The sequence below is a fragment of the Homo sapiens genome, chromosome 5 (assembly GCF_000001405.40).
Source record: "Homo sapiens chromosome 5, GRCh38.p14 Primary Assembly".
NCBI lineage: Eukaryota > Metazoa > Chordata > Mammalia > Primates > Hominidae > Homo > Homo sapiens.
In genome coordinates, this window is record NC_000005.10 from 93,813,188 (window position 1) to 93,839,982 (window position 26,795).

The 26,795-nt window shown below is 35.5% G+C and overlaps 1 protein-coding gene across 32 annotated transcripts in view; it reads right to left on the reverse strand.

Annotated features, from left to right (window-relative positions):
• Positions 1-26,795, reverse strand: part of ARB2A (ARB2 cotranscriptional regulator A) — a 493,975-nt gene that overhangs the window by 195,463 nt on the left and 271,717 nt on the right. For all 32 annotated transcript variants that reach the window (NR_028080.1, XR_007058646.1, NM_001163418.1 and 29 more), the window contains one exon: positions 10,961-11,080. Coding sequence is in view for 30 of the 32 variants with exons in the window: in NM_001163418.1 (NP_001156890.1) it covers positions 10,961-11,080 (120 nt within the window). In the remaining 2 variants the exon portion in view is untranslated. The remainder of the gene's footprint in view (positions 1-10,960; positions 11,081-26,795) is intronic.

Below are 26,795 nucleotides of genomic sequence, written 5' to 3' on the forward strand. Positions count from 1 at the left end.
ATTCTGATGAGGTCTCAGATGAAAATGAGAAACATGTTACCGGACAATGGAGAAAAGGTAATCCTTGAGATAAAGTGGCAAAGAACTTGGCTGAATTGTGTGTTCTAGTGTTTTCTAGAAGGTAGAACTTGTGACAATAAAATTGAATATTTAGCTGAGGAGATTTCTAAGTAAAGTGTTAGAGGAGCAGCTTGTTCCTCTTGATTGCTTATAGTGAAAATGTAAGAAGAGAGAAATGAGCAAGAAATTATTAAGAAAAAAGGATAGAGAGCTTATAGATTTTGGAAATTCTCAGCCTATCCATATTGAACAAAAGAGAAAGGATGTTCTGAAGAGAGCACTAAGGATGTGGCTGAACAAACATTTGATAAGGAGATTAGCATGGCGTGAACCACAAACTTAATCAAATATCCCAGCAGGAAAACTGTCAGTTTGACCTACAGGGAAAGAAGATGGGACTGTGGGAAGGCAACTGTCTACAAGACAGGAAGTATGCCCTCACTAGAGCCTGGATCTGCTGGTACTTTTATTTTGGGTTTCCTAGCCTCCTGAACTGTGAGAACAAATGTTTGTTGTATAAGCCACATACTCTATAATATTTTTGTTATAGGAGCCCAAAATGACCAAGATAATGAATAAATACTTAAATAAGCAAACTAATTTCTAGAGGGTATGAGCCTTACCTTAACTTAAGCCTAACTTAATCACAGAAAACATAACTGAAATTTGGGGTTCAAATAAGGTTCTGCTAGTTTCTTTGATTAGAGATTTCAGTATCTTCTCAGTTGAATTCCTAATCAATTTCCATTAACAGCGCTTCTAAGTGTTCAAAATTTCAGGGCCACAGACTGTACCTTCTGTGCACTCAGTGAGACTGACTCTTGATGTCCCTGTTTTTCAACTTAAATGATCAATTTTGTTCTCTTGTCCATCTTTTTTCTCTATCTTGTGGCTCAGGCCTTACTTTCTTCATTTGGACCCAACATAGCACCATTTGAGATCTGGTCCTGATAATTCATTTATAAATAAATCTACAATCAACAACTATTTCTTGAGTATATACTCATTGTATGTCCAGCCAGGCTAGGCAGCATGGCATAAACCCATGAAAATAATACATTTGTTATTTATTTTCTACCAGTTAAAAAAAGAATTCTAAGGTTGCATCAAGCAAAAGATAACTATGTATTAGGATAATGAATAGGAGACTGAGGCTGAGAATAAATTACTGAAATGGAAAACTAACCATAGCTCTGGGTTTCTGGGAGATAAAGGCAAAAATGTATTACATAGCTATTATTTTCTAACAAAAAGAACATATCAGTTCATCTATACAAATGGTTTTTCCTAGTACTTACCTCTAAGACAAATTTACTGTATGGATCTTTATACTGTGGACCTTAACATAATGACCTCTTCGCTATTATCCCACTTCACAAATATCCCCTATATTATTCTCTTTGTTTAAAAATGTTTCCTATTTAGACTAAAACCTTCTTGAGGCCAGAGACCATGTGTTCTAATGTTTCCCCAGTACTTGTATGGAGTGGGTATGTTCAACTGAATCAGTAATTATCTTTAATAACAATTTTTGGAAACATTTCTTGCCTTGAGGGCGTAATATTCAGTCTTAACTCCAAGAAAACACTTTTTTGGTTTGCTTGTTTTTGGAGACAGTCTTGCTGTGTTGCCCAGGCTGGAGTGTGGTGGTGTGATCATAGCTCACTGCAGTTTCAAACTCCTGGGTTCATGCAATCCTCCTGCCTCAGCCTCCCGAATAGCTGGGACTACAGGCATGTGCCACCATGCCTGGCTAATTTTTTTAAAAAAATTTTTGTACAAACGAGGTCTTCCTATGTTGCCCTGGGTGGTCTCAAACTCCTGGCCTCAAGCAATCCTCCTGCCTCAGCCTCCCAAAGAATTGGGATTACAGGCATGAGCCTCAAGGTCCAGCCAAGAAACACTTTCAATCCACAAAGTCAAACTTTTGTGGTTCTGGTGGCTTTATTGTAAGCTAAATTCATTCAATAGAAGTGTTAAAAACCTGTAACAGAAAATATGAAGTGAGAACAATTGATATACATGTAGGGGTTAAAAATCTCCAACTCTGAAAGTTAAAATTACAGAGACCTAGAAGAGTATCACTTTGTTACTCTGAGACCAAAGAAGGTGTTAGACCCATAGTGAACATTTGGCCATAAGAGAAGGAAAAATGATAGTCCTTCCTCTCCATTTCCTTTATTGCCATAGAAACCAGATAACCAGGGTACCAAAGACCAGTCCAGAGTATCTTACATGTCCTCAGAATGCAGTATTCTACTTATTCCATTCTAATCTAAGCCACATAATCAGACTTCTGCCTTGATTTGTTCACAATCCTTCTGATTTTTACGCCTATGATAATAGCTTATTTCTTTCCCTGAGAAAGATCCCATTTTGAAACTCCCAGGCAATGAGTGAAGCCTTAAACCTTTTACCTTGTGAATCCTCCCCCTGGTACTGGATCCTGTTTATTTTTTCTCCTTCATTTCCTATAAAGGAGTGAGGTGGGATATGGTGAAGGAAAATAGGCACTCTTAAAACCAATTACTAGATTTTGTTTGCTCGGTCATTACCCATTGCCTTGATTTTCTGTTCCCCACAACCAGATTGTACTTCCTGATTCAAACCTGAGCTTACCATACTCTGATATAACTCCCTGGTGAGAGCTCACCTTCTATTCCCTCTAAAGCCAACCTCTACAGCTGAAGTAGCTCCTCCTGAAACTATCCTGAACTCTAGTAATAAGATCTTTACTCAAATCTGGCTTCCACTCTTGTTCTCTCAAGCCTTCCCTTAACAAAGATCAAGTATGCTTTGAGTCTAAATCCACCTGGCTCCTCTGAGTTAACTTGAATAAATTATTTAATAACGATTGGATCCTAACTTTTAAAAGTTAAATAGCTTTGATTGTGAATTCTTTTTGTCCCCTAGAAGTCCTTTCCAATTTGAGATGTCTGAGGTGCACTGTGCCTGGGAATTTTATTTGGGAGAGGGCTTACAATGAATGATCATTTTAAGGTTACAAGAACACTAAAAACAGCCCTATTATCAACTGAAATGTGTTTTTCTACATTCCTTCTTATAAAAGGCTTACAATAGTCAATCATAGTCTCATATTTGCAGTAAAATACAAAATCTATCATTAAGATCTTTTATAATACCAATGGAAAAAAGAAATATTTCTTATGTAATGATTTATATTTAACAAATTAATATGTCAATTCCTTTGAGTTCCCCTTAACTTGTTATTGTGCTAATTTTGCCAGGCAATCCTTGGTTTCCTAGCAGTCTTTGTGGAATCAGGAGACAGAGTGACCAATCTCTCAGCTACAAACAATGCAGGGAAGGCAGTAGGACCTGAATGCAGCTCATCTACTATGTGGACACTAAGAAAAACCTGTTCCAAAGGTAATTCCAATGGAGTAATATGGGTCCTTTATTCTACAAAAAGATCCTTATTAAAGATTAGTGAAATTTTTCTCCACTTCAGCAGCCTTCCAAACAATAGAATCTTGGTGTGCATGAAGGATATAAAAGGATATAAACATTAAGGAGCACACTAGGTTCTTAAGGGAAATAACCTATCAGGAATGAAAACAATCACAACTAATATCATACTTAATGATGAAATACCGAACAATTTCCTCTTAAGATCAGGAACAAGACAAGGATGTCCATGCTAGCCACCTTTATTCAACCTTGTACTAGAGGTTCTAGCCAGGGGAATTTGGCAAAAAAACAAAAATATATAAATTAATTAGATAAACATGCATCCAGATTGAAAAGGAAGAAGTAAAACTATCTGTATTCACGAATGATATGATCTTGAATATGAAAACTCCTAAGGAATACACACAAACACACACACACACACACACACACACTGATTAGAACTAAAAATAGTGAATTCAGCAAGGTTGCAAAATACAAGACTAACATATAAAAATAAATCATGTCTCTATCTACTAGTACTGAATATGAAAATAAAATAAACAATTTCAGTTAGAATAGCTTCAAAAATAATCAAATACTTAGAAATAAATTTAAGAGGAGAAGCTTAAGACTTGTACACTGAAAACAACAAAGCATTTTTGAAAGAAGACCTAAATAAACGGAAAGAAAGCCCATTGTCACGGATTAGAAGACTTAAGATTGTCAAGATGGCAACACTCCCCAAATTAACCTATTTAATCAATCCCAATACAAATCTCTGCTTTTTTATTTTTGCAGAAATTAACAAATCAGTCCTAAAATTCATATGGAAAAGCAAGACCTAGAACAGCCAAAATCATCTTGAAACAGAATGAACAAAGTTGGAGGATCTACTCCCTGATTTCCAAACTTACCACAAAGCTACAGTAATCAAGTCAGTGTGGTACTGGTATGAAGACAGGCATATATATGGAATAAAATACAGTCCAGAAGCAAACCCTTACATTTATAGTCTATGGATTTTGACAAGGGTGCTAAGACAAATCAGAGAAGAAAGAAGAGTATTTTTCAATAAGTGGTGCTGGGATTAACTAAATATCCATATTCAAAAGAATTAAATTGGACCCTTACCTCACACAATATACAAAAACTAGCTTAAATGACAAAAACAAAAACTAGATAAATTGGACTTCATCAAAATTAAAACTTCTGTACTTTGGAGGAAATCATCAAGAAAGTGACTTAGTCATCCAGAGAATGGGAGAAAATTTTCACAATCATTTATCAATAAGAGATTTGTACCAATATATAAAGACCTATGAAAAATCAAAAATAAAAATGATAACCCAATTAAAATTGAGCAAAGGATTTGAGTAGACATTTCTCCAAAAAATACAAATGGCCAACAGCACATAAAAAGAGGCTCAACATCATTATTCATCAGAGAAATGAAAAAGAAAAAAAAAAAACTACAGTGAGATGCCACTTCACACCCACTAGGATAGCTAATATAAAAAAAGACAGATAATAATAAGTGCTGATGAGGATGTGCAGAAAGTGGAACCCTCATACACTGCTGGCAGGATTGTAAGTATGGGGAGAAATGGGTAATGGGTATGGAATTTCTTTTGGGGTGATAAAAATGTTGTAAAATTAGATAGTAATGATAGTTGTACAAGTCTGCAAATATGCAAAAAGACTTTGAACTGTATATTTTATTTAAAGGATGAATTTTATGGCATGTAAGTCATATTTCAATAAATCTTAATAAATCTCCATTATATCTTGATAAAAGTATGTAAAATTTATCTCAGAAATAAAAAAGTTTAAAAAATGCAAACAAGCGAACGTAAGCTAATTATTAAATAAAAGGTGAAGCTGAACCGATTGGGGATGAAATGGAAAGTTTTCTAGACTTATTTCATAGACTGCCATATAACATTGTAAGGATATTATTATGATGATAATTTAGTTATATTATAATTTAGTTTAGTCATTTTCTTATTTTATTGAAAAGACTATACCTACAAGGGTGTGTCATACAGAAGCAATCTTTTCAGTCAGACTGAGAGCTGGGCATGCCAGCAACAAGGAGCCTATAAAAGTCTTACACCTGAACGAAAAAAGTAATACTGTCTAATGTGGAGTAACTGATTAGGTAGAATTCCCAAATCAGTCAATATTTAAATGCAGAGTAGGGAGAATTAACAAATTTAGTTAGTAAAAGAGTTAAGGTTTAAACTTGGCCGGGCGCGGTGGCTCACGCCTGTAATCCCAGCACTTTGGGAGGCCGAGACGGGCGGATCACGAGGTCAGGAGATCGAGACCATCCTGGCTAACACGGTGAAACCCCGTCTCTACTAAAAATACAAAAATTAGCCGGGCATGGTGGCGCGTGCCTGTAGTCCCAGCTACACAGGAGGCTGAGGCAGGAGAATGGCGTGAACCCGGGAGGCGGAGCTTGCAGTGAGTCGAGATCGCGCCACTGCACTCCAGCCTGGGCGACAGAGCGAAACTCCGTCTCAAAAAAAAAAAAAAAAAAAAGGTTTAAACTCTATATGTTAGTCAACTAACTGTGCAGATATTTAAGACTACTCATGTTGTTGTAATATACATTATTTTCAAACTTGGGATAAGAGCAGTATTAGACTCTTTATCCTCAAGATATTTCTAGATCATTTGGGCAAAATGAGATTGGACATAAAAGATAACTTTAACAAAACTAATTAGTATGTATCTTGAAGTTATATTACAAATGGCAATTTATTTTTACTGAATTACCTAGATTTTTAAAGTAAGTTTGTAAGAGTATTTTTGGCCTGAGTTATCTGGATACCATTATGATTCAGTTTTTCTTGCTTACTTCCCTTATTTTAACTTCCCTCAATTTTTGACTCCCAGCAGCCCAACTTTTAGCTGTTCTCATTGATCACATTATGCAGATATCTTACCAATATCCAATTTACTTTGTTCCTCATGGACAAAATATAAATGACACTTCTTTAAGGTCACAGTTAGCTGATGTAAAAGACTAATTATTTTAGTTCCATTTTCTCTTCAGTGTAAATCCAAATCATGCTCCAGGCAATTTAAAAAAATCTGCTGAGAGTAGAGAGAGGTTGAGTGTCCTCATGCAGCTATGTCCAAAACCAGTCCTCTATCAGCTGCTGAAGGGCAGCTTAGGCTGCCTGGAGGCCAGGGAGCCCAGCATGGAACAATGGCAGGAAAATAGAGTTCCCTTCATTCCTTAATTCACATGCAAGTGAGGTGCCAATCAAGTGCTGACAAGCATGGAGAAACCAAAATCAAAAGTGGGTAGCGATACACTTTCAAAAGGAGCTGTTTTCACACATTTCTAAGTGATTTTTTAATGATGGTTGGGAATATACTAATAATAACATGGAAAAGGAAATAAAAGTAATAAGAAAAACACAAAATTTGTATCAGTTGAGATGATTCAATAAACTAATGAAATATATTTACTAAAATTACTTAACATGTTTTATAAAAACATATGAACACTGTTGTTTTGGCTAAGCAAAGAAATTTCCATTCAAATTGATATATTGAGCACTGCAAACGGGGAAGGTAAGGTGTGCTGAGATCAATAACTGGGCATTGATAAACCCTGTTAATTTCCAAATTAAATAAAAAATTAAAGGTTACTTGATTTGGCCAAACTGATCGCCTGGAAAGATAAGAGCAAAACACTCTGAAATGGCCAACAATAAAAGTGATGAAATCACTTCATCATAGTAGCTGGAGAAAAAGATGATGAAGAAGGTCAAAAACTGCATTGTTTTAAAATGACAGTTAATTTTCAAAAAATGAGCCTGAATTTTTTAAAACTAGTATAAGGCAAAAGTAAGTTGCATTATTTGTAGATTTCTTTCCAGATGAATTTGGTAAATGCATTCTAATTATGGTTAATAATTCTATTATGTGTAAAGTAAAATTTGTAAGAAATTTCAGGCTTTGTAAATGATGGTTTAATAACTGTAACTTTACATATTGGCATTATTTTAAGTATACAGAAAAGATAACAGAGGCAGATATATTACTTTTAAAAGTTCATTATCAATTCATGAGATGAAACAGTTCTTTCCTTTTGTCTTTAATGACTAAATCCTACAATCAATAGGGTTGTCTTATCAAAATTTATTTTTACTAGGAACACAGAGAGTTCAGAGAATTGGAAATTTGAGTTGTTACCATATGGTGAGAGTAAAAGCAGTTAATAGCATATTTTTAATATCATGTTTCTTCTTATTATAGTAAAATGTATACTGTTTTTTAATGAGGTTAGATCTAATCAAGTTCTAAGATTTACTACCATAAAATGAATATTGGTTTTGAAAAAAATCTCTGATTATAAGATATTCTTCAGGATAAATACAACATTTTAAGATAGGATATAATAGTAAATTATGTTCTCACTTTTCGAAAACAACAATTAGCAAAATATTAAAGCATAAGTAATTGCATTTACTGGTGAAACTGTACTTGCTACAATTTACATTTAAAACAATTTTTTTTTGAAATTCATGACATAACGAAGAATGTGAACTTGTAGGACAGTGGTAGAAAAACGATTTCCATGCATTCAAACACGACGCTACAAACTAAGACTGTTCCCTAAGAAATGTGTGTGTTTGTGTGTGTATGTGTGTGTGTCATCTTTAATCAAAAGTAAAATTTTATGGCAATTTAAATGACTGAAATCCAAAGGATTTACTGTCTGACATGTGTAATGCACTACTGGGACAAAAAACCAAATCATAATTTAAGATTTACATATTAATCTTGACAATTTACTTGCTTGTAAAGTTAATATTAAAATTTTGAATGAAAGTAAAACAATTCATACAATACAGTTAATGTTGAAAAGTCCTGAAAAATTGCCTATTTGTCAATATTTTAACACCATGAGTTTTTAAATTTGCTTTTGCCTAAAACTGAATAACATTTTTTTTCAGTTTTAGGCAAAAGCAAAGGATCTAAAAACATTTCAATGTTTATTATTTCTTTAACAATACTATATTTTAGAAAGCCTTTCAAACAAAAACACAGTGGACCTAAACATATTAATCAAATTTGTCAAAAAATAATGTAAAATTCATCAGGGTACAATGTTATTTGCTTAAAGGAATCCATTGTATGAGGTCAGGAACCAGTCTTTATTCATTTGCCACCATCCGTATGCTTCCATTACATACCCCCAAATCAAAGTTATTTCACAAAAAGTAGCAAAAAAAAAAAACGAAGATGAGATAATTGCCATTAATACTTTAGAACCTAAACAACGTATATTACATTAAATAGACTTCTCAGCCCTGGCGTTGCCTGACAGATATGTGATGTGCCAGTGGTTATATTATATTCCTCCTCCCATGCATGTGCCTCCTGCAGAGATAGCAGACTACAGAAGCTGACCCTTACTGAGACCATCTTGTCTCTCTGACAAAGCTCCTTTTTAACTTCTTACTTACTGGTTACTTCCTGTGATGGAGAAAAACTTTAGCTCAGCTTGTGATAATTTCACAGGCCCTGAGGACCCTGACCCTAATAGCCTCAAGGTCAGAAGTCAAGTCTTGTTCTGAAACATCTGTGTGCTTTATATTAAAGTGGAACAAAAGTGGAGAAATATCCACCAGTGTGTGACAAGCAGGACGGGCAAAATAGGACTGACACACTGGTCATCTGTTAACTCTGGCATCTTCAGTTCATTGTAAAAACTGTCCAAAAGGAATGTAAATTTTAAGTTTGGTGTGTAAAGGTTTTCGTAAACTGTCTTAAAGTTAAAAAATGGGAATTTATGTTTTATAGAACTCTAAAATTTGATTAGCCTTGCAGACTTTCAGACATATTTTAAGTCACTCTACAAGTCAAGAAATTTCATGCTTTAAGTAATTTAACAGCTTACAAAGAAAAAATAAGCTATATATAATCTATATCTATGGAGATATAGAGATATATATATCTATATAGCTATATATTTATATCTGTAGGGATTGAAAGGAATTATTTGAAAAACAACATTCATATTTTAAAAAGTACATCATAGTAGTGTGCTAAAGAGCTATCTTAAGATATCTATTATATATATCAAAATAAATAAATTAATTCAGCATAGTTAAAATTAGTTGAAAATAATCCCTAAAAACTGAAATAAATTTAGAAAATAAATGATTTAACTTAACGATTTATTGATCTTAAGACAGCAGAAGCACTTGTAGAGTTAAGTCAGCTAAAATATTCTCAGATGTCACTACCAGTTTTAAAACTAAATCAAGTGGGTAAGCAATAAGACATAGGGTGGTTGAAAAGGTCACGGAAATATATTCAATTTCCATGTCAGAGAAAAACATGCCAAAGTCTAGAAACATAAAAATTAGGCAATCAATATTGTGTCTCTGGTTCAATGTCCACTTAGATCTATTTGGATTTAAAATGATCAACTGCACTTTTATCAAATTAACTATTTTATGGTAGGATTGGTAACTTCCTGTAACATAAGAGATTATGGACAGATCCCATGAATTCTTCACTAATCCATTATTAGAATTGATTATATCACATTAACCATGCTGGCCCATGATTGTGATATTGTAATATTGCATCTAAAACAGACAGAATTCAGAAATTTGGTAATTTTTTTCTATCATGTACACATAATCTTAACTCCAAGAATCAAATTATTTTTAAATATGAAGATTTCTATGATCAAGCAATGCATTCTAGTTAGAAGCAGATTAATGGAAGCTTTCTTGCAGTTTTAATACTAATTATATAAAATTCTGATCAAGTATCAAGTACAAGTCAGTTAAAGACTATCAAAATATTCTCAAGTATTCAAAATGTCTCTTGACATTTTAAACACTTTATAGATAACATAAGACTCAATGGTGTATACATAAAGCAGAAACAATAAATATCATGAAATGTATGGAAACTGGCACTATAATGTAGAAATTAAAAACTAATATGTAAATAAGGAACAGGCAAAAAGCTTTCTGGTTAGCACTAAAAAGCTCTGTCACCATAAAATAAAGTAGTAGGCTGAGGCAGGCGGATGACGAGGTCAGGAGATTGAGAACATCCTGGCCAACATGGTGAAACCCCGTCTCTACTAAAAATATAAAAATTAGCTGAGCATGGTGGTGCATGCCTGTAATCCCAGCTACTTGGGAGGCTGAGGCAGGAGAATAGCCTGAACCAGGGAGTCAGAGGTTGCAGCGAGCTGAGATGGTGCCACTGCCCTCTAGCCTGGCGACAGAGACTCTGTCTCAAAAAATAATAATAATATTAATAAAATAAATAAGTAAATTAATAAACTATTTTCAAACATCATAAAATTATTTACTCAAAATATGTTATTTTCCTTCTTTATAACATAACTTAAAGAGTATTGATACCAACAGAAAGAAAGGAGAGGGGATAAACCTACAAGGAGACTGGAACTACAGAGAGTAAAATAAGCACTTACCAGTTCAACAAAAGCAAGTCCTCCATAGCTGTGAGCAACGAAAAACACATTCTCAGCAGCAGCCTGAGCTATGAAATGATCCCAAACATAGATTGCATGTTCTTCAGGAGAACCATTTTCCTATAAGGGAAACAAATGTCATATATTACATATTATACCTAATTATTATCATAGCAAACAACAATTAAATTATATGCTTGCATACACAGCATATGAAATACAATGGTTATAGCTCATTCAAAATAAAAATAATATAAAAGAACTACATTGAAAATTCAAATTAGAGAATATGAGAGGACTTCAAAAAGTTTGTAAAAAAATAGAATTAAAAGATAAAAATTAAAAAAAACACTTTATTTCTGAACATTTCATGAAGGTCAAGAAACTTTTGTAAGTGGTGATACATGCCTTTTAGTACACTCCTAAAGAACTCCGGGTCCTGGTAATTTAACCATGTCAATGCAGTCTTTTTTACATTATTAACTGAAGAAAAGTGATGCCCTTAAACATTTTTTAAGATTAGAAAACTACAAGTCAGAAGGAGCCAAATCAGGACTGCAACGTGGATGCCTAATGATTTCCCAGAGAAACTCCTGCAAAATTACCCTTGTTTGATGAGAGGAATGAGCAGGATATTCTTGTGGTTGAGAACTCTCTGATGAAGCTTTCCCAGGCATTTTTCTGCTAAAGCTTTTGCTAAATTTCTCAAAACACTTTCATAATAAACAGATGCTATTGTTCTTTGGCCCTCTAGAAAGTCAGTAAGCAAAATGCCTTGGGCATCCCCCCAAACTGTTGCCAGAACCTTTGATCTTGACCAGTCAGATTTTGTTTTGACTGGACCACTTCCATCTCTTGGTAGCCATTGCTTTGATTGTGCTTTGTCTTCAGGATTGTACTGGTAAAGCCATGTTTCATCTCCCGTTGTAATTCTTCAAAGAAATGTTTACTTTGATCCAAATTGTTAAAAATGTCCATTGAAATATGTGTTCTTGTCTGCAGCTGATCTGGGTGCAACAGTTTTGGTACACATTGAGTGCAAAGTTTTTTCACCTTAAATTTTTCAGTCAGAATTGTGTAGGTGGAATCAATTGAGATGTCTATATGTCAGCTATTGTTTCTGTTGTTCATCACTTATCTCATCAATTAGGGCACAAACAAGATAATTTTTTTTCTCCTAAATTGATGCAGATGGTCAGCTGCTATGAGCTTCATCTTCAACAATGTTCTGTCCGTTCTTCAAATGAGTTAGCCATTTGTAAACTACTGATTTGTTTGGGAGACTGTCCCCATAAACTTTTTGTAAAGCATCAATGATTTTACCATTCTTCCACCCAAGCTTCACTATAAATTTGATGCTTGTTCTTGCTTCAATTTTAGCAGAATTCATGTTGCTCTGACAGGTGCTCTTTTCAAACTGATGTCCTGTATTTCTTAGTGCCTTGAATGAGATCCTCTCCAGGCATGTCATAGCAAGTTAGTAAGAGTTTATTTTGGTGCAATAAAAATGAAATCCATGCATGGATTTTTCATAATATGCATTTTCCATGAACTTTTTGAAGGCTCTTCAAAAATCAGTGAGCACATTAGAATTATATAGCAGAAAGTTATACTGATCTTTTGATAAAACAATGTAATACTAAAAAATGTATTTACATTCCCATAGTTAGATGTGAAAATATTTAATATATATCTAAATTATTTTATTTATAAGATTTTAAGTATCTCTGTAAGCTAAAAATAAGGAAAAATGAATAATAAATATTTTCTGTTGAAATTATCAAAATATATATATACATTTTTTCTAAAAGCATTTTCTATACAGATTTTTGGAATTGGGAAAAAAACCTAAATATATAAACCTAGGCCTTTTACATTTTTCCTAACTTGCTAAACCCAAATAAATGTATGTCACTTAAGTTGCAAAAGTTATGTAATAACTTCATTTTGCTGTTTATTTCTATGGCTGACATATTGTGGTTAAAGCCAAAACCTGGATAATGTGAAAAACAAAAACAAACTAAAATGTGAAATAATACTGATCAAAAAGCAAACTGTGAAGAACTGAAACCTCAAGAAAATGCTTTGTACGAATATTTCTTAGAAGCTTGAACACTAAAAGACTCATTTCCTAAGAATGTCATGGATATTAGACAATGCACACAATCACATTTTCCTTTTTAGAAATTTTATAATAAATTATTAAGGTCCCCACATGCATGGCATCACTTGCCATCTAGAAGTTAGTTCTCTCTATGTCTATCTGTCCTAAATTTCTCTCCAGAGCCACAAAGCCAACTATTTAATGGTCATTTCCTTCTGTATGTACCACAGACATGTCAAACTCAACCAATCCAACACTGTAGTAAGAACCTCTACAAATCTGTCTAAGCTCTCCATATCCAGCTGAAATCTGAGAGTCAACTTTTTTCCTTTTAAAATGTTTTTTTAATTTTTTTTATTATACTTTAAGTTTTAGGGTACATGTGCACAATGTGCAGGTTTGTTACATATGAATACATGTGCCATGTTGGTGTGCTGCACTCATTAACTCGTCATTTAACATTAGGTATATCTCCTAATGCTATCCCTCCCCCCTCCCCCCACCCCACAACAGGCCCCACAGTGTGAAGTTCCCCTCCCTGTGTCCATGTGTTCTCATTGTTCAATTCCCAACTATGAGTGAGAACATGCGGTGTTTGGTTTTTTGTCCTTGTGATAGTTTGCTAAGAATGATGATTTCTAGCTTCATCCATGTCCCTACAAAGGACATGAACTCATCATTTTTTATGGCTGCATAGTATTCCATGGTGTATATGTGCCACGTTTTTTTAATCCGGTCTATCGTTGTTGGACATTTGGGTTGGTTCCAAGTCTTTGCTATTGTGAATAGTGCCGCAATAAACATACAAGTGCATGTGTCTTTATAGCAGCATGATTTATAATCCTTTGGGTATATCCCCAGTAATGGGATGGCTGGGTCAAATGGTATTTCTAGTTCTAGATCCCTGAGGGATCACCACACTGACTTCCACAATGGTTGAACTAGTTTACAGTCCCACCAACAGTGTAAAAGTGTTCCTATTTCTCCACATCCTCTCCAGCACCTGTTGTTTCCTGACTTTTTAATGATCACCATTTTAACTGGTGTAAGATGGTATCTCATTGAGGTTTTGATCTGCGTTTCTCTGATGGCCAGTGATGATGAGCATTTTTTCATGTGTCTTTTGGCTGCATAAATGTCTTCTTTTGAGAAGTGTCTGTTCATATCCTTCGCCCACTTTTTGATGGGGTTGTTTGTTTTTTTCTTGTAAATTTGTTGGAGTTCATTGTAGATTCTGGATATTAGCCCTTTGTCAGATGAGTAGATTGCAAAACTTTTCCTCCATTCTGTAGGTTGTCTGTTCACTCTGATGGTAGTTTCTTTTGCTGTGCAGAAGCTCTTTAGTTTCATTAGATCCCATTTGTCAATTTTGGCTTTTGTTGCCATTGCTTTTGGTGTTTTAGACATGAAGTCCTTGCCCATGCCTATGTCCTGAATGGTAATGCCTAGGTTTTCTTCTAGGGTTTTTATGGTTTTAGGTCTAACGTTTAAGTCTTTAATCCATCTTGAATTAATTTTTGTATAAGGTGTAAGGAAGGGATCCAGTTTCAGCTTTCTACATATGGCTAGCCAGTTTTCCCAGCACCATTTATTAAATAGGGAATCCTTTCCCCATTGCTTGTTTTTCTCAGGTTTGTCAAAGATCAGATAGTCGTAGGCATGCGGCGTTATTTCTGAGGGCTCTGTTCTGTTCCATTGATCTCTGTTTTGGTACCAGTACCATGCTGTTTCGGTTACTGTAGCCTTGTAGTATAGTTTGAAGTCAGGTAGTGTGATGCCTCCAGCTTTGTTCTTTTGGCATAGGATTGACTTGGCGATGTGGGCTCTTTTTTGGTTCCATATGAACTTTAAAGTAGTTTTTTTCCAATTCTGTGAAGAAAGTCATTGGTAGCTTGATGGGGATGGCATTGAATCTATAAATTACCTTGGGCAGTATGGCCACTTTCATGATACTGATTCTTCCTACCCATGAGCATGGAATGTTCTTCCATTTGTTTGTATCCTCTTTCATTTCATTGAGCAGTGGTTTGCAGTTCTCCTTGAAGAGGTCCTTCACATCCCTTGTAAGTTGGATTGCTAGGTATTTTATTCTCTTTGAAGCAATTGTGAATGGGAGTTCACTCATGATTTGGCTCTCTGTTTGTCTGTTATTGGTGTAGAAGAATGCTTGTGATTTTCATCTGTTATTTCTCTTTCTCCCAAATTCCTCACATAATCAGTCATTAAAATTCTATTGATCCTGCCACCGTCTCTCAAATCCATCTACTTTTCTTTCATTTAATCTGGTTTAGCTCAAGCCACCATCATTTCACAAGTGGATGACCACAACAATCTCTAGCCTAGCCTCAACAATCTCTAGCCTAGCCTAGTAGTGACCTGTAGGATTGACCATTTACATGTTTTAATTCTGCAGTGAGAATAACCTGTCAAGAATGCAAATATGATCATGTTGCCAAGTTACTCACTCCCTGCTTAGAATCCTCCTATTTTCTCACTGTTCCCAGAATTAAGTTCAAACTCCTATATCTATTTTTTTATTTTTTGAGACAGAGTCCTGCTCTGTTGCCTGCATAGGAGTGTGGTGGCGCAATCTTGGCTCACTGCAACCTCTGCTTCCCAGGTTCAAGCGATTTTCCTGCCTCAGCCTCCCAAGTAGCTGGGGTTACAGGTGCATGCCACCACACCTGGCTAATTTTTGTATTTTCAGTAGAGATGGGGTTTCGCCATGTTGGCTTGGCTGGTCTTCAACTCCTGACCTTAGGTGATTTGCCCACCCCGGCCTCCCAAAGTGCTGGGATTACAGGCATGAGCCACTGCGCCTGGCCCTCAAACTCCTTAATATGACATTCAAGGCCGTTTGTAAAGTTCAGACTCCTCAGTGTGACATTCAAGGCCCTTTATGATCTAGCACTCTGTATTGAACTATATCTTTCACCATTGCCCTACAAAATACCTTGACCCCAAACACATCCCTTTTCCCCCTGAGAAGACACACAGAACAGTCTCTGTGTTCCAGTTGTAGGGAGCAACTCGAAGTAACCTAATTGGGCCCTATTTTTCTTGCCTATGGGTTACTGCATTTGTCCAGATAGTGATCTTTGTGCTCTGCCTTCACTTCCCATACCACCTTCTACTGCATACTCCCTACTTGTCTTCAGTACTGAAATGAGATATCATTTCCTCTGGAAAGTCAACCCTATTTTTCCCAAGGATTAGGTAATGTCTTCTAACATCATCTTGTGCATGCTTCCTATTATTGCACTGAGGAGCTGTATTGTAATTACTAGTTAGATTATCAAATTCTTGAGGCCAAGAACTATGTCTTCTTGTTCATTAAATCTTAGTGTAATAAATGAATAACAAAACCACAACGTTTATCTTCAGGCTGATTACCTACAACCTTGTAGTCATATATTAAAATACAAACATACTTCCAAAGTCATTTCTTAGTAACATAAATATGAAATTACCCACACAGAAGAATGAATAAAACAGTTGGAAGGAAAACCTTATAGGGATTTTAGGCTTTGATAATTTATCTTTCATTAGTTTAAAAAGTAAGAAAATGGTTAACATAAAAATGAGGATAGTGGTTAACTTTAAGGAAGGGAATGAAGTTGTGACTAAGAAATTGACTTTTAGTGGCTGCCAGCATTCCACTTCTTGTCTGCTTTGATAGTTACACAAGTGTGTTCTTTATAGTTATTATTTAAACTAACCATACATATTTAGCACTTTTCTGTAGACATATCTGGAGTGACTATACAATTTGTTGTTCAAACTTTTGAGAGTGAAGAAAGATATTATCAGTAATTGTAGTGGAAAACAGGTCTAAATTGGAACTATACAGAAAAATACTGAACACCTCATCACCCTAGTTATAGCTCACAATGCAAGAAATATGAAAACAAAATAGGAAAGTTACCAGAGTTTCCACCTATTGATGGTTGGCATAACTAACCATCTTAAATACCTGAGATGGTCCTAAATACTCCATATATGGACAGGATTACATATATGTGTGTATATATATTTATATGTATATATATGTGTGTGTGTGTATATATATATATATATATATATATATATATATATATATATCCACACACAATTAGATAACTCTGTCCCCATTAAGCTCTGCGCTGGAAGTGTAGATGGAAGAATGATAAGTATGCCATGATCCTGGCCTTTAATAAGTTAGAGGTATTAACACATAAAGACTTCAGAAGCAGTAGTGTGTGAGGAGTATTACCTCCTCTGATCCTGTTGGACTGTCCTGAAACCAAGGTTGACGGGCCATTATAAATCCATACTATCTGACCTCAGTGAGGTTCTCCCTGCTGTCTTCTCAGTCACTAATTCTTCCTGTATACTGTTGGGATCCTATTTGTCTCATTCTTTCCAGTCCCACCACTGTTTAGGTTTTCTTACAACAGACTTTAGTCTCAATTTTTCTAGTCCAGCAGTCCCCAACCTTTTTGACATCAGGGACCAGTTTTGTGGAAGACAGTTTTCCACAGACAGAGTGGAGAGGATGATTTTGGGATGATTCAGGTGCATTACGTTTATTGTGCACTTTATTTCTATTGTAATATATAATGACATAATTATACAACTAACCATAATTTAGAATCAGTGGGAGCTCTGAGCTTGTTTTCCTGCAACTAGGTGGTCCTCTCTGGGGGTGATGAGAGACAGTGACAGATCGTCAGGCATTAGATTCTCATAAGGAGCGCACAACCTAGATCCCTCACATGCGCAGTTCACAATAGGGTTCATGCTTTTATAAGAATCTAATACTGCAGCTGATCTGATAGGAGGTGGAGCTCAGGTGGTAATGCGAGCAATGGGGAGCAGCTGTAAATACAGATGAAGCTTTGGCTTGCTTGCCTGCTGCTCACCTCCTGTTCAGCCCAGTTCCTAACAGGCCATGGACTGGTACCCATCTGTGACCCGGGGTTTGGGGAACCTTGTTCTAGTCTTTCCCTTTACTCTGTTGCCAGATCAATCTTTTTGAAGCCTTGCTCTGATCAAGCCACTCCGCTGCTAAAAAAAAAAAAAAAAAGTCATTTACTGAAATGATTTTGCCTACAAAGTAACTGGAACTCTTTAGCCAACATCTTCTCTAAAACTATCTTTCTAGCTTTCCCTCTCACTATCTATTTCCAGGGATCTTATGCTCCAGGCAAATCTGGATTACACATTAATAGTCTGAAAGCCCTAGACAAAACTCAGTCATGCAACTCAGTCTGGGATGAGACAGGCAATGCAGCCCAGATTACACAAAGCCTAAAAGCAAGGAGTAGTTCAGTAATCCACATATGTGAGATGATAAAGACCATAATACTCCTCAGGGTGGTAGCAGAGTGAATGGAAAGAAAGGGATAGAATGAATCATCATAAAAGAAAAATGAGCAAAATTTTGTGAGTCACAGGATTTGAGGGAAAGTGCCGGCCAGGCCCATCCATGACTAAAGGGAGCTAAGAACCAACAGTTGTTTCTACTGCTTACAGAGAATAGTATTACAGCTTAGTCTTTTCCTCCACAGTCGATGGAGATAATATCTGTTAATGGCCTGTCAGCAGTAGGAAAGAGAAACTTCATGTTTCCATGGGCTTCAAGTACTTAAATGTCTTCAGCTTGACTAAGGTCAAGCTGAAATTACAGATTTTAGCTTTAGACTTTTAAACCAAATATTCTAAAAAGTGAGACCCAACTGAAAAATGTCTACAATATCCACAAGGGGGTCTTTTATAGGCTCAACTAAACCATCAAACTCATGAGACTATTCTGGACCACACTTGATATCCATTGACTAAAAAAGATATAGAAAAGGAATCAACCTTGCTAGCAGGGCAGCACCAGACACTACTTTTTAGTGGGAGCCTTGCAGCAGTCCTTGTGGCAACCCCCAGAACCTCCGAGGATTTACTATCTTTGGAATATGGCGTGTTAACTTAGGAGTGAGGGAATCAGGCTCACCTTGAGCAGATGCAGGAGTTATCCTGGCTTAAAAATCTTATACCCCACAGAAGCCAATATCTTTGCAATAACTCCATAGGTATGGCTTTCAGGATTCCATCCCATAAGAGACATGCTCAATTCTAAGAGTCACTACTCTTAGGGAAGATCAAAGCTATGGTATACCATGTTCTGATTACTACTAATCCTGATGGAGTTTACTAATTAGGGGTCATTTTCTACCACAGGCAATATTGTCTAGTGACCATCCACTTAAGAGTGAATGCTATGATGTGCTGCCCAGAATCCCTTCAGTTATAAGTCATTCATTTCCTTAGCTGTGGGAGTGCTGGCCTTAGCTGAGGCACTCTCTAGAAATTGCCCTTAGCCAAAAAGCAACCTTGCTTAAGGTTACAGTCCTACCCCTGGTCGCTTGCCTATGGCAGAACATCTTTGAAAAGTCATCTCAGATCCAGAGACTACCATGGGGTTAGCTGAGGGCTTTGTTGTGACTACACTGCAGTTCAACTCCTGTCCAATTCTACTTTTTTTTACTCCCCTACAAGTGCTGATCCCAAGAGGACTCCTCAACAATCTTCCTGCATGTAAACTTCCATTTCGAAATTTATTATCTGGGAAACTCAACCTAACACACCACTATATCAGGCTTCCAGGGGGAAGAGCCAGAAAGTCAACTGAAGGTCAGAATCTCATGCAGAAATTGAACTAGTTATTTACTACAATGTCTTACAAGAAATATATATAAAGTATTTATAACTATTTACATGTATTATCATGCCTATGTTTAAAACAACTGCAAAATATTGGTGGCTCAGGATTACCTGCCAGCTCTACCATCAGCCATGGTAGCTTAATTTGAATCCTATACCATTTCATTGGTTCTTCTCTACTCTATTTGTTTAATGTCAAGTCGCTTTTCCTTCCTTCTAGAATATAACCAACTTGAAAGTAGATTATCTTTTTAATTCAAACTATAAATACAAGGCATGCTACAGGCATTCAACAATAATTAACAATGCTAGTGTTATTGGCAATGATACTGTGGACAAAATATTTTGGAGTACATTTCAAAAATGAAAACAAATGAGTATTTAAACTTCATTTCAGGAATCCAGCTTCTAATAATCTGGAATGTGGCAAAAGACTGGTGGTCAAAGATATTCATCACTGTCTCATTTATAAAAGCAAAACTTTGGATAAAGCGTAAGTATCCAATAATGAAAATATAAATAATAGTTTATCTGTTGAATGAAATATTATGTAGCTATTCTATGAGTTTATAATACATGCAGCTTATCTGATATGTAGTGTAATTTTTATCATATAAAAAAAGCCTGAAAAAGACTTTTCAAAAGAATAAATCAAATAAAACACTAAAAGCAGTTGAGCTGTCTATTGATGGTTGGAATATGAGTAGTTTTCTATTTTTAGTTTCTTCACACTTTTCTGAATGGCCAGAATTTCTACAAAGTACATGCTTTTTATACTAAACAAGTAAACAACAGGAAAATCAGAATACCACTTAGTAATTACTGATGTCTTCTTAGGGTGAATTATCATCTGAGCAGGGTTTTTACACCTTCGAATCTTTTTAAAAATAATTTTAACTTTTATTTGAGATTCAGAGAGTACATGTGCAAGTTTGATACATGAGTATATTGTATAGTGCTGAGGTTTGAGATAGGAATGATCCCATCATCCAGGTAGTGAGTGTAGTATTCAACAGTTAGTATTTTAACCCTTGCCCCCTACTTCTCTCCCACCTTTGGTAGTCCCTAATGTCTTTGCTGCCATCTTCACGTCCATGAGTAAACAATGTTTAGGTCCCATTTGACACAAAAACATGTGTACACCAAATATATCGTCTGAACCCACTGAGCATTTCCAACCAGCAAATGAGAAAGGTTGTTTCAAATAGGTTTAAGGGTAAGAAGAAGAAAGAGTAATAAGTGATAGTTGAAAGTTTGCTACTAACTGAAGAAACGGGAAAACCAGAAAATTAGAAGAGCACATGTAGCACCTAGTGTGAGACCATAAGTATTGTTATGAGCAACTTAAGGGCAGTGCCATATTCAAAGCACAATAACTGACAAGCACGACAGTGACACTGGGTCATTTCAAGAAGGCTAATGATGTTATATGAACTCGATTTCTGAAAGACTAGTGACACACAATTAAATAGTTTTATTCAAAATATTACTTTACAAAACAAAATATAAGGGAGATAAGCCTTAGTTATAAAAAACTCAACTTTCATATGTGTTACTTCCCAAGGCTGTCACAAAATTAAGGCTTTTTACTATATACAGTGTTTAAGAAAGCTAGATTCCCATCATTTTTGGATTTAACAAATTCTGCCAAATATTTGCAGCCTTCTACAAATGTTAAACATAGAAATTAATAAACTTAGATTAGTTTTAAATATATATGTATATGTATTTCTGGAATATTACATTACTAATAATACATACTAAAATCCCAATTTTATAAATGTGATGATGCTATTCCAACGCAAATTTGTGTCATTCCAACCCACAGTCCACATTGTGTCTACAATCATTATATATTTATATATTGTGACTACAATCCAGAGAGTGTATATTATCAGCAGTGTATTTTGAGACTAAACAGATTCAATAGGAAAGGCTTTCTAATACGCTTCAATTACAGAAATGCAAACATACTAAATCTATTCCACAGGCTTCCCCATGAATTCCACATTAGAGTGCATTTTGTATTGAGCAACTTGATTTAAACTCGATGATTTTAGAATATGCTAACGTACAAAGTGCATGAAAAGAACTAAATCCATTAATTAGTATTTGCTGGTGGCAGAGTGCATAGGATATTTACCCTAGAATTCTGCTACATTCAGAATACAGGTGGAATTTCCTAATGTACTCTTGCCATCACTAATCCTTAAATGCCAAACAGAAGTGATGCAGTAACCAAAGCCTTATCAACTATGCCAGATTCTACTACCTAGGCATTGCAAGGTCTGCATTTATGATGGACTACCTGAGCTGACAGCACATGGAATTATCTAAACAACATTTGCATATTTGTGTAATTATTTTCTAAGGTTAATTAGCTCCTGTAATGCATTTCTCCCTTTGAGACTGCTTACAGTGACAGGTTCACATATTTTCTGAACCATTGCCAAATTTGACAGATTTTTCTTCAGCTAACCTGTTGCTACAAAGTTATAAAAAGTAAGTACTCCTATAATATACACTTTAAACTTACAATTGATTTTAGAAAAAGTAAACTGAAAATTTAATGGATGTAAAGGTTTTTTAAATGTCCAATTTTAAAGTCAAAAATTCAAGGTTTTTTACTTCATATAAATCTTTCTGTGATTATACTGGTAAGCATATCTATTAACAAAATATCTTTTAATAATCAAATCTAACCTTTGTGACTTCAGCACATACCTATGTCACTAATTTCAGTTATGTCCACGTCATATAAATATGTATATAAGTATGTATGTGTACATACACACACACACACTTCACACTCTACCAGCTGCCCTTAGTATTGCCATTGATTTGCTATTTACATTGGTGATATCAACTGGAGAAATTACACTAATATAAAATCTACACCTGTTTTACGACAAAATTTACAAAATGAAATTCTTTCTTCTAAAAAGTTAAGGCTTTCCACTGGGAAAAGTATGGCTCAATAAAATCCAAATGGAAGGTAGATAGTCTAGTCTGCTGGATGGAGGATGCAAAAATGTAAGTTACCATCTTGTACTCAACCAATCCACAAGGATAAGATGAAAGAAAAAATTTTTTTTTTCTTTTTGACGGAGTCTCGCTCTGTCGCCCAGGCTGGAGTGCAGTGGTGCAATCTCTGCTGACTGCAAACTCCGCCTCCCAGGTTCGCGCCATTCTCCTGCCTCAGCCTCCCGAGTAGCTGGGACCACAGGCGCCCCCCACCACGCCCGGCTAATTTTTTGTGTTTTTAGTAGAGATGGGGTTTCACCGTGTTAGCCAGGATGGTCTCGATCTCCTGACCTCATGATCCGCCCACCTCGGCCTCCCAAAGTGCTAGGATTACAGGCGTGAGCCACCACGCCAGGCCTAAAGAAAATTCTTATTTTCAGCAATTGGCCAGTGGAGTATCCTTCCAGAAGAAACGGAACACAGATATGGCTCTAATCCAGAAAGACACACACAAGGAAATTTTATGCTTTAGCTTTAAAGCTTTAAACTTTTGGATGATTTTGTTATTTAACTCTTTTGTATATTAACTGAGTATAAATTGTGCATTAATATAGAACAAAACATTTAAAAGAACAGTTATATGTAAAACATATTTTACCTTGTCACATGAGATGTAATTTTATTTTATCCAATTAAATAATTTAGATTAAAATGTTTTCTTCATTTTGGCATATTTTAAATGTATGCTTTTTTACAAATTGTATGCATTTGTATTTAATGATGATTAAAGTACTAGGTGTATACTGGATGCATAAAAGTAACACTATAACATGCATATACTAAAAACATATTCAAAATTGAAGGACATTATTCAGTCCCAAAATATTAAATTGAACCATATAAGTTACCAGTATTAGAAATTTTGGACCTTGAAAAATGGCAATTTCACAAGATTCAACTTTAAACATAATGAAAATAGACAAAAAAAAGTCTATAAGCTGGAGATACCTTGAGACTATCAATTTGTTTCTACCTTTTAGGTGTCAAGATACTATTTGCAGCACTCAATCTTTTTTTAAGTTTTATTTTAGGTTTAGAGACACATGCAAAGGATCGTTATATAGGTAAACTGTGTGTTGTGGGGTTTGGTGTACAGATTATTTAGTCACCTAGGCAATAAGTATAGTACCCAATAGGTATGTTTAAAAATCCTCTCCCTCCTCCCACTCCACCCTCAAGTAGGCCCTTTTTGTGTCCACGTGTTCTCATTGTTTAGCTCTCACTTATAGGTGAGAACATATGGTATTTGGTTTTCTGTTCCTGCATTAGTTTGCTCCAGATAGTGATCTCCAGCTCCATCCATGTTGCTGCAAAGGACATGATCTCATTCTTTTTCAATGGCTGTGTAGTATTCCACGGTGTATATGTGCTAAATTTTCCTTCTGCAGTCTACCACTGATGAGCATTTAGATTGATTCCACGTCTTTGCTACTGCAACGAATAGTGCTGCAATGAACAAACAAATACATGTGTCTTTATAGTAGAATGATTTATATATCCAATATACCCAAAGGAATATAATACATTCCACCATAAAAATAAATCCCACTAGATTGCTGGGTTGAATGGCAATTCTGAGTTTTTTTGAAACTCAGAATTGCCATTTTTTGAAAGCACACTGCTTTCCAGAAAGGCTGAACTAATTTGCACTCCCACCAACAGTGTATAAGTGTTCCCTTTTCTCCCCAATCTCACCAGCATCTGTTATTTTTTGACTTTTTAATAAAGGCCATTCTGGCTGCTGTGAGATGGCATCTCAGAGTGGTTTTGACTTTCATTTCTCTAATGATTACTGATGCTGTGCATTTTTTCGTATGCTTGTTGGCCACATGTATGGCTTCTTTTGAAAAGTGTTCATGTACTCTGCCCACATTTTAATGGGGATGTTTGTTTTTTGCTTATAAATTTGTTTAAGTTCCTTATAGATTTTGGATATTAAACCTTTGTCAGATGCATAGTAAGCAAATATTTTTCCTATTCTATAGATTGTCTGTTTACTCTTTTGATAGTTTCTTTTGCTGTGCAGAGATCTTTAGTTTGATTAGGTCCCACTTGTCAATTTTTGCTTTTGTTGCGATTGCTTTTGGTGTCTTTGTCTTGAAATCTTTGCCAGGTCCTATGTCCAGGATGGTATATCCTAGGTTTTCCTGAAGGGTTTTTATAGTTTTAAGTTTTATATTTAAGTCTTTAATCCATCTTAAATTGATCTGTGTATATGATGTCTGTCCAATTTCAATCTTCTGCATATGGCTAGCTAGTTATCCCAGCACCATTTATTGAATAGGTAGTCCTTTTCCCATTGCTTGTTTCTGTAGGCTTTGTAGAAGATCAGACAGTTGCAGGTGTGTGGCATTATTTCTGGGCTCTCTATTCTATTCCATTGGTATATGTATCTGTTTTTGTATCAATACCATGCTGTTTTGGTTACTATAGCCTTGCAGTAGAATTTGAAGTGGTAATGTGATACCTCCACCTTTGTTCTGTTTGCTTATGAGTGCCTTGGCTATTCAGGCCCTGTTTTGGTTTCATGTGAATTTTTTAAAATAGTTCTTTTTCTGTGACAGTGCAAGACTCTGTATCAAAAAAAAAAAGGTTTTCTAATTCTGTGAAGAATCTCATTGGTCGTTTGATAGGAACAGCATTGAATCTGTAAATTGCTTTGGGCAGTATGGCCATTTTAATTACATTGATTCTTCCTATCCATGAGTAAGCAATGTTTTTCCATCTGTTTGAGTCATCTTTGATTTCTTTGAGCAGTATATTGTAATTCTCATTGGGGAGACCTTTTACTTCCCTGGTTAGTCATATTCTTAGATATTTTATTCTTTTTTGTGGCAATTGTGAATAGGACTGTGTTCCTGATTTGGCTCTCAGCTTGACTGTTGTTTGGTGTATAGGAATGTTACTTGTGTTTGTACATTGATTTTATATTCTGAAACTTTGCAGAAATTGTTTATCAGATCAAGGAGCTTTTGGGCAGAAACTATGGGGTGGTATAGAATCATGTCATCTGCACACAGGGATAGTTTGACTTCCTCTCTTCCTATTTGGGTGCCTTTTATTTCCTTCTCTTGCCTGATTACTCTGGCCAGGACTTCCAATACTATGTTGAATAGGAGTGGTGAGAGAGAGCATCCCTGTCACGTTCCAGTTTTCAAGGGGAATGCTTCCAGCTTTTGCCCATTCAGTATTATGTTGGCTGTGGGTTTGTCATAGATGGCTCCAATTACTTTGAAGTATGTTCCTTCAATGCCTAGTTTATTGAGGATTTTTAACATTAAAAATGTTGAATTTTATTGAAAGGCTTTTCCGCATCTATTAAGGTAAGCATGTGGTTTTGTCTTTAGTTTCATGTGATTAATCACATCCACTGATTTGCATATGTTGAACCAATCTTATGTTCTAGGGATGATGCCTACTTGATTGTGGTGGATTAGCTTTTTGATGTGCTGCTGGATTTGGTTTGCTAGTTGAGGATTTTTGCATCTATGTTCATTAAGGATATTGGCTTGAATTTTTTTGTTGTGTCTCTGCCAGGTTTTGGTATCAGGATGATGCTGGCCTTATAGAATGGGTTAGGGTAAAGTCCTTCCTCATCAATTTTTTTGGAACAGTTTAAGTAGGAGTGGTAGCAGCTCTTCTTTATACACCTGATAGAATTTGGCTGTAGATCATTCCGGTCCTGGGCTTTTTTTTTTGGTTGATAGGCTTTTTACTACTGATTCAATTTTGGAACTCATTATTGGTCTGTTCGAGGATTCAATTTCTTCCTGGTTCAGTCTTGGGAGGTTGTATATGTCCAGGAATTTATCCATTTCTTCCAGGTTTGCTAGTTTGTGTGCATACAGGTGTTAATAGTAGTCTCTGACAGTGTTTTGTATTTTTGTGGGGTTGGGGGTAATGTCCCCTCTGTCATTTCTGATTATATTTATTTGGATCTTCTCTCTTATTTTCATTATCAGGCTAACTAGCAGTCTATGTAATTTTTTCACCAAACCAATTCTACAATTCATT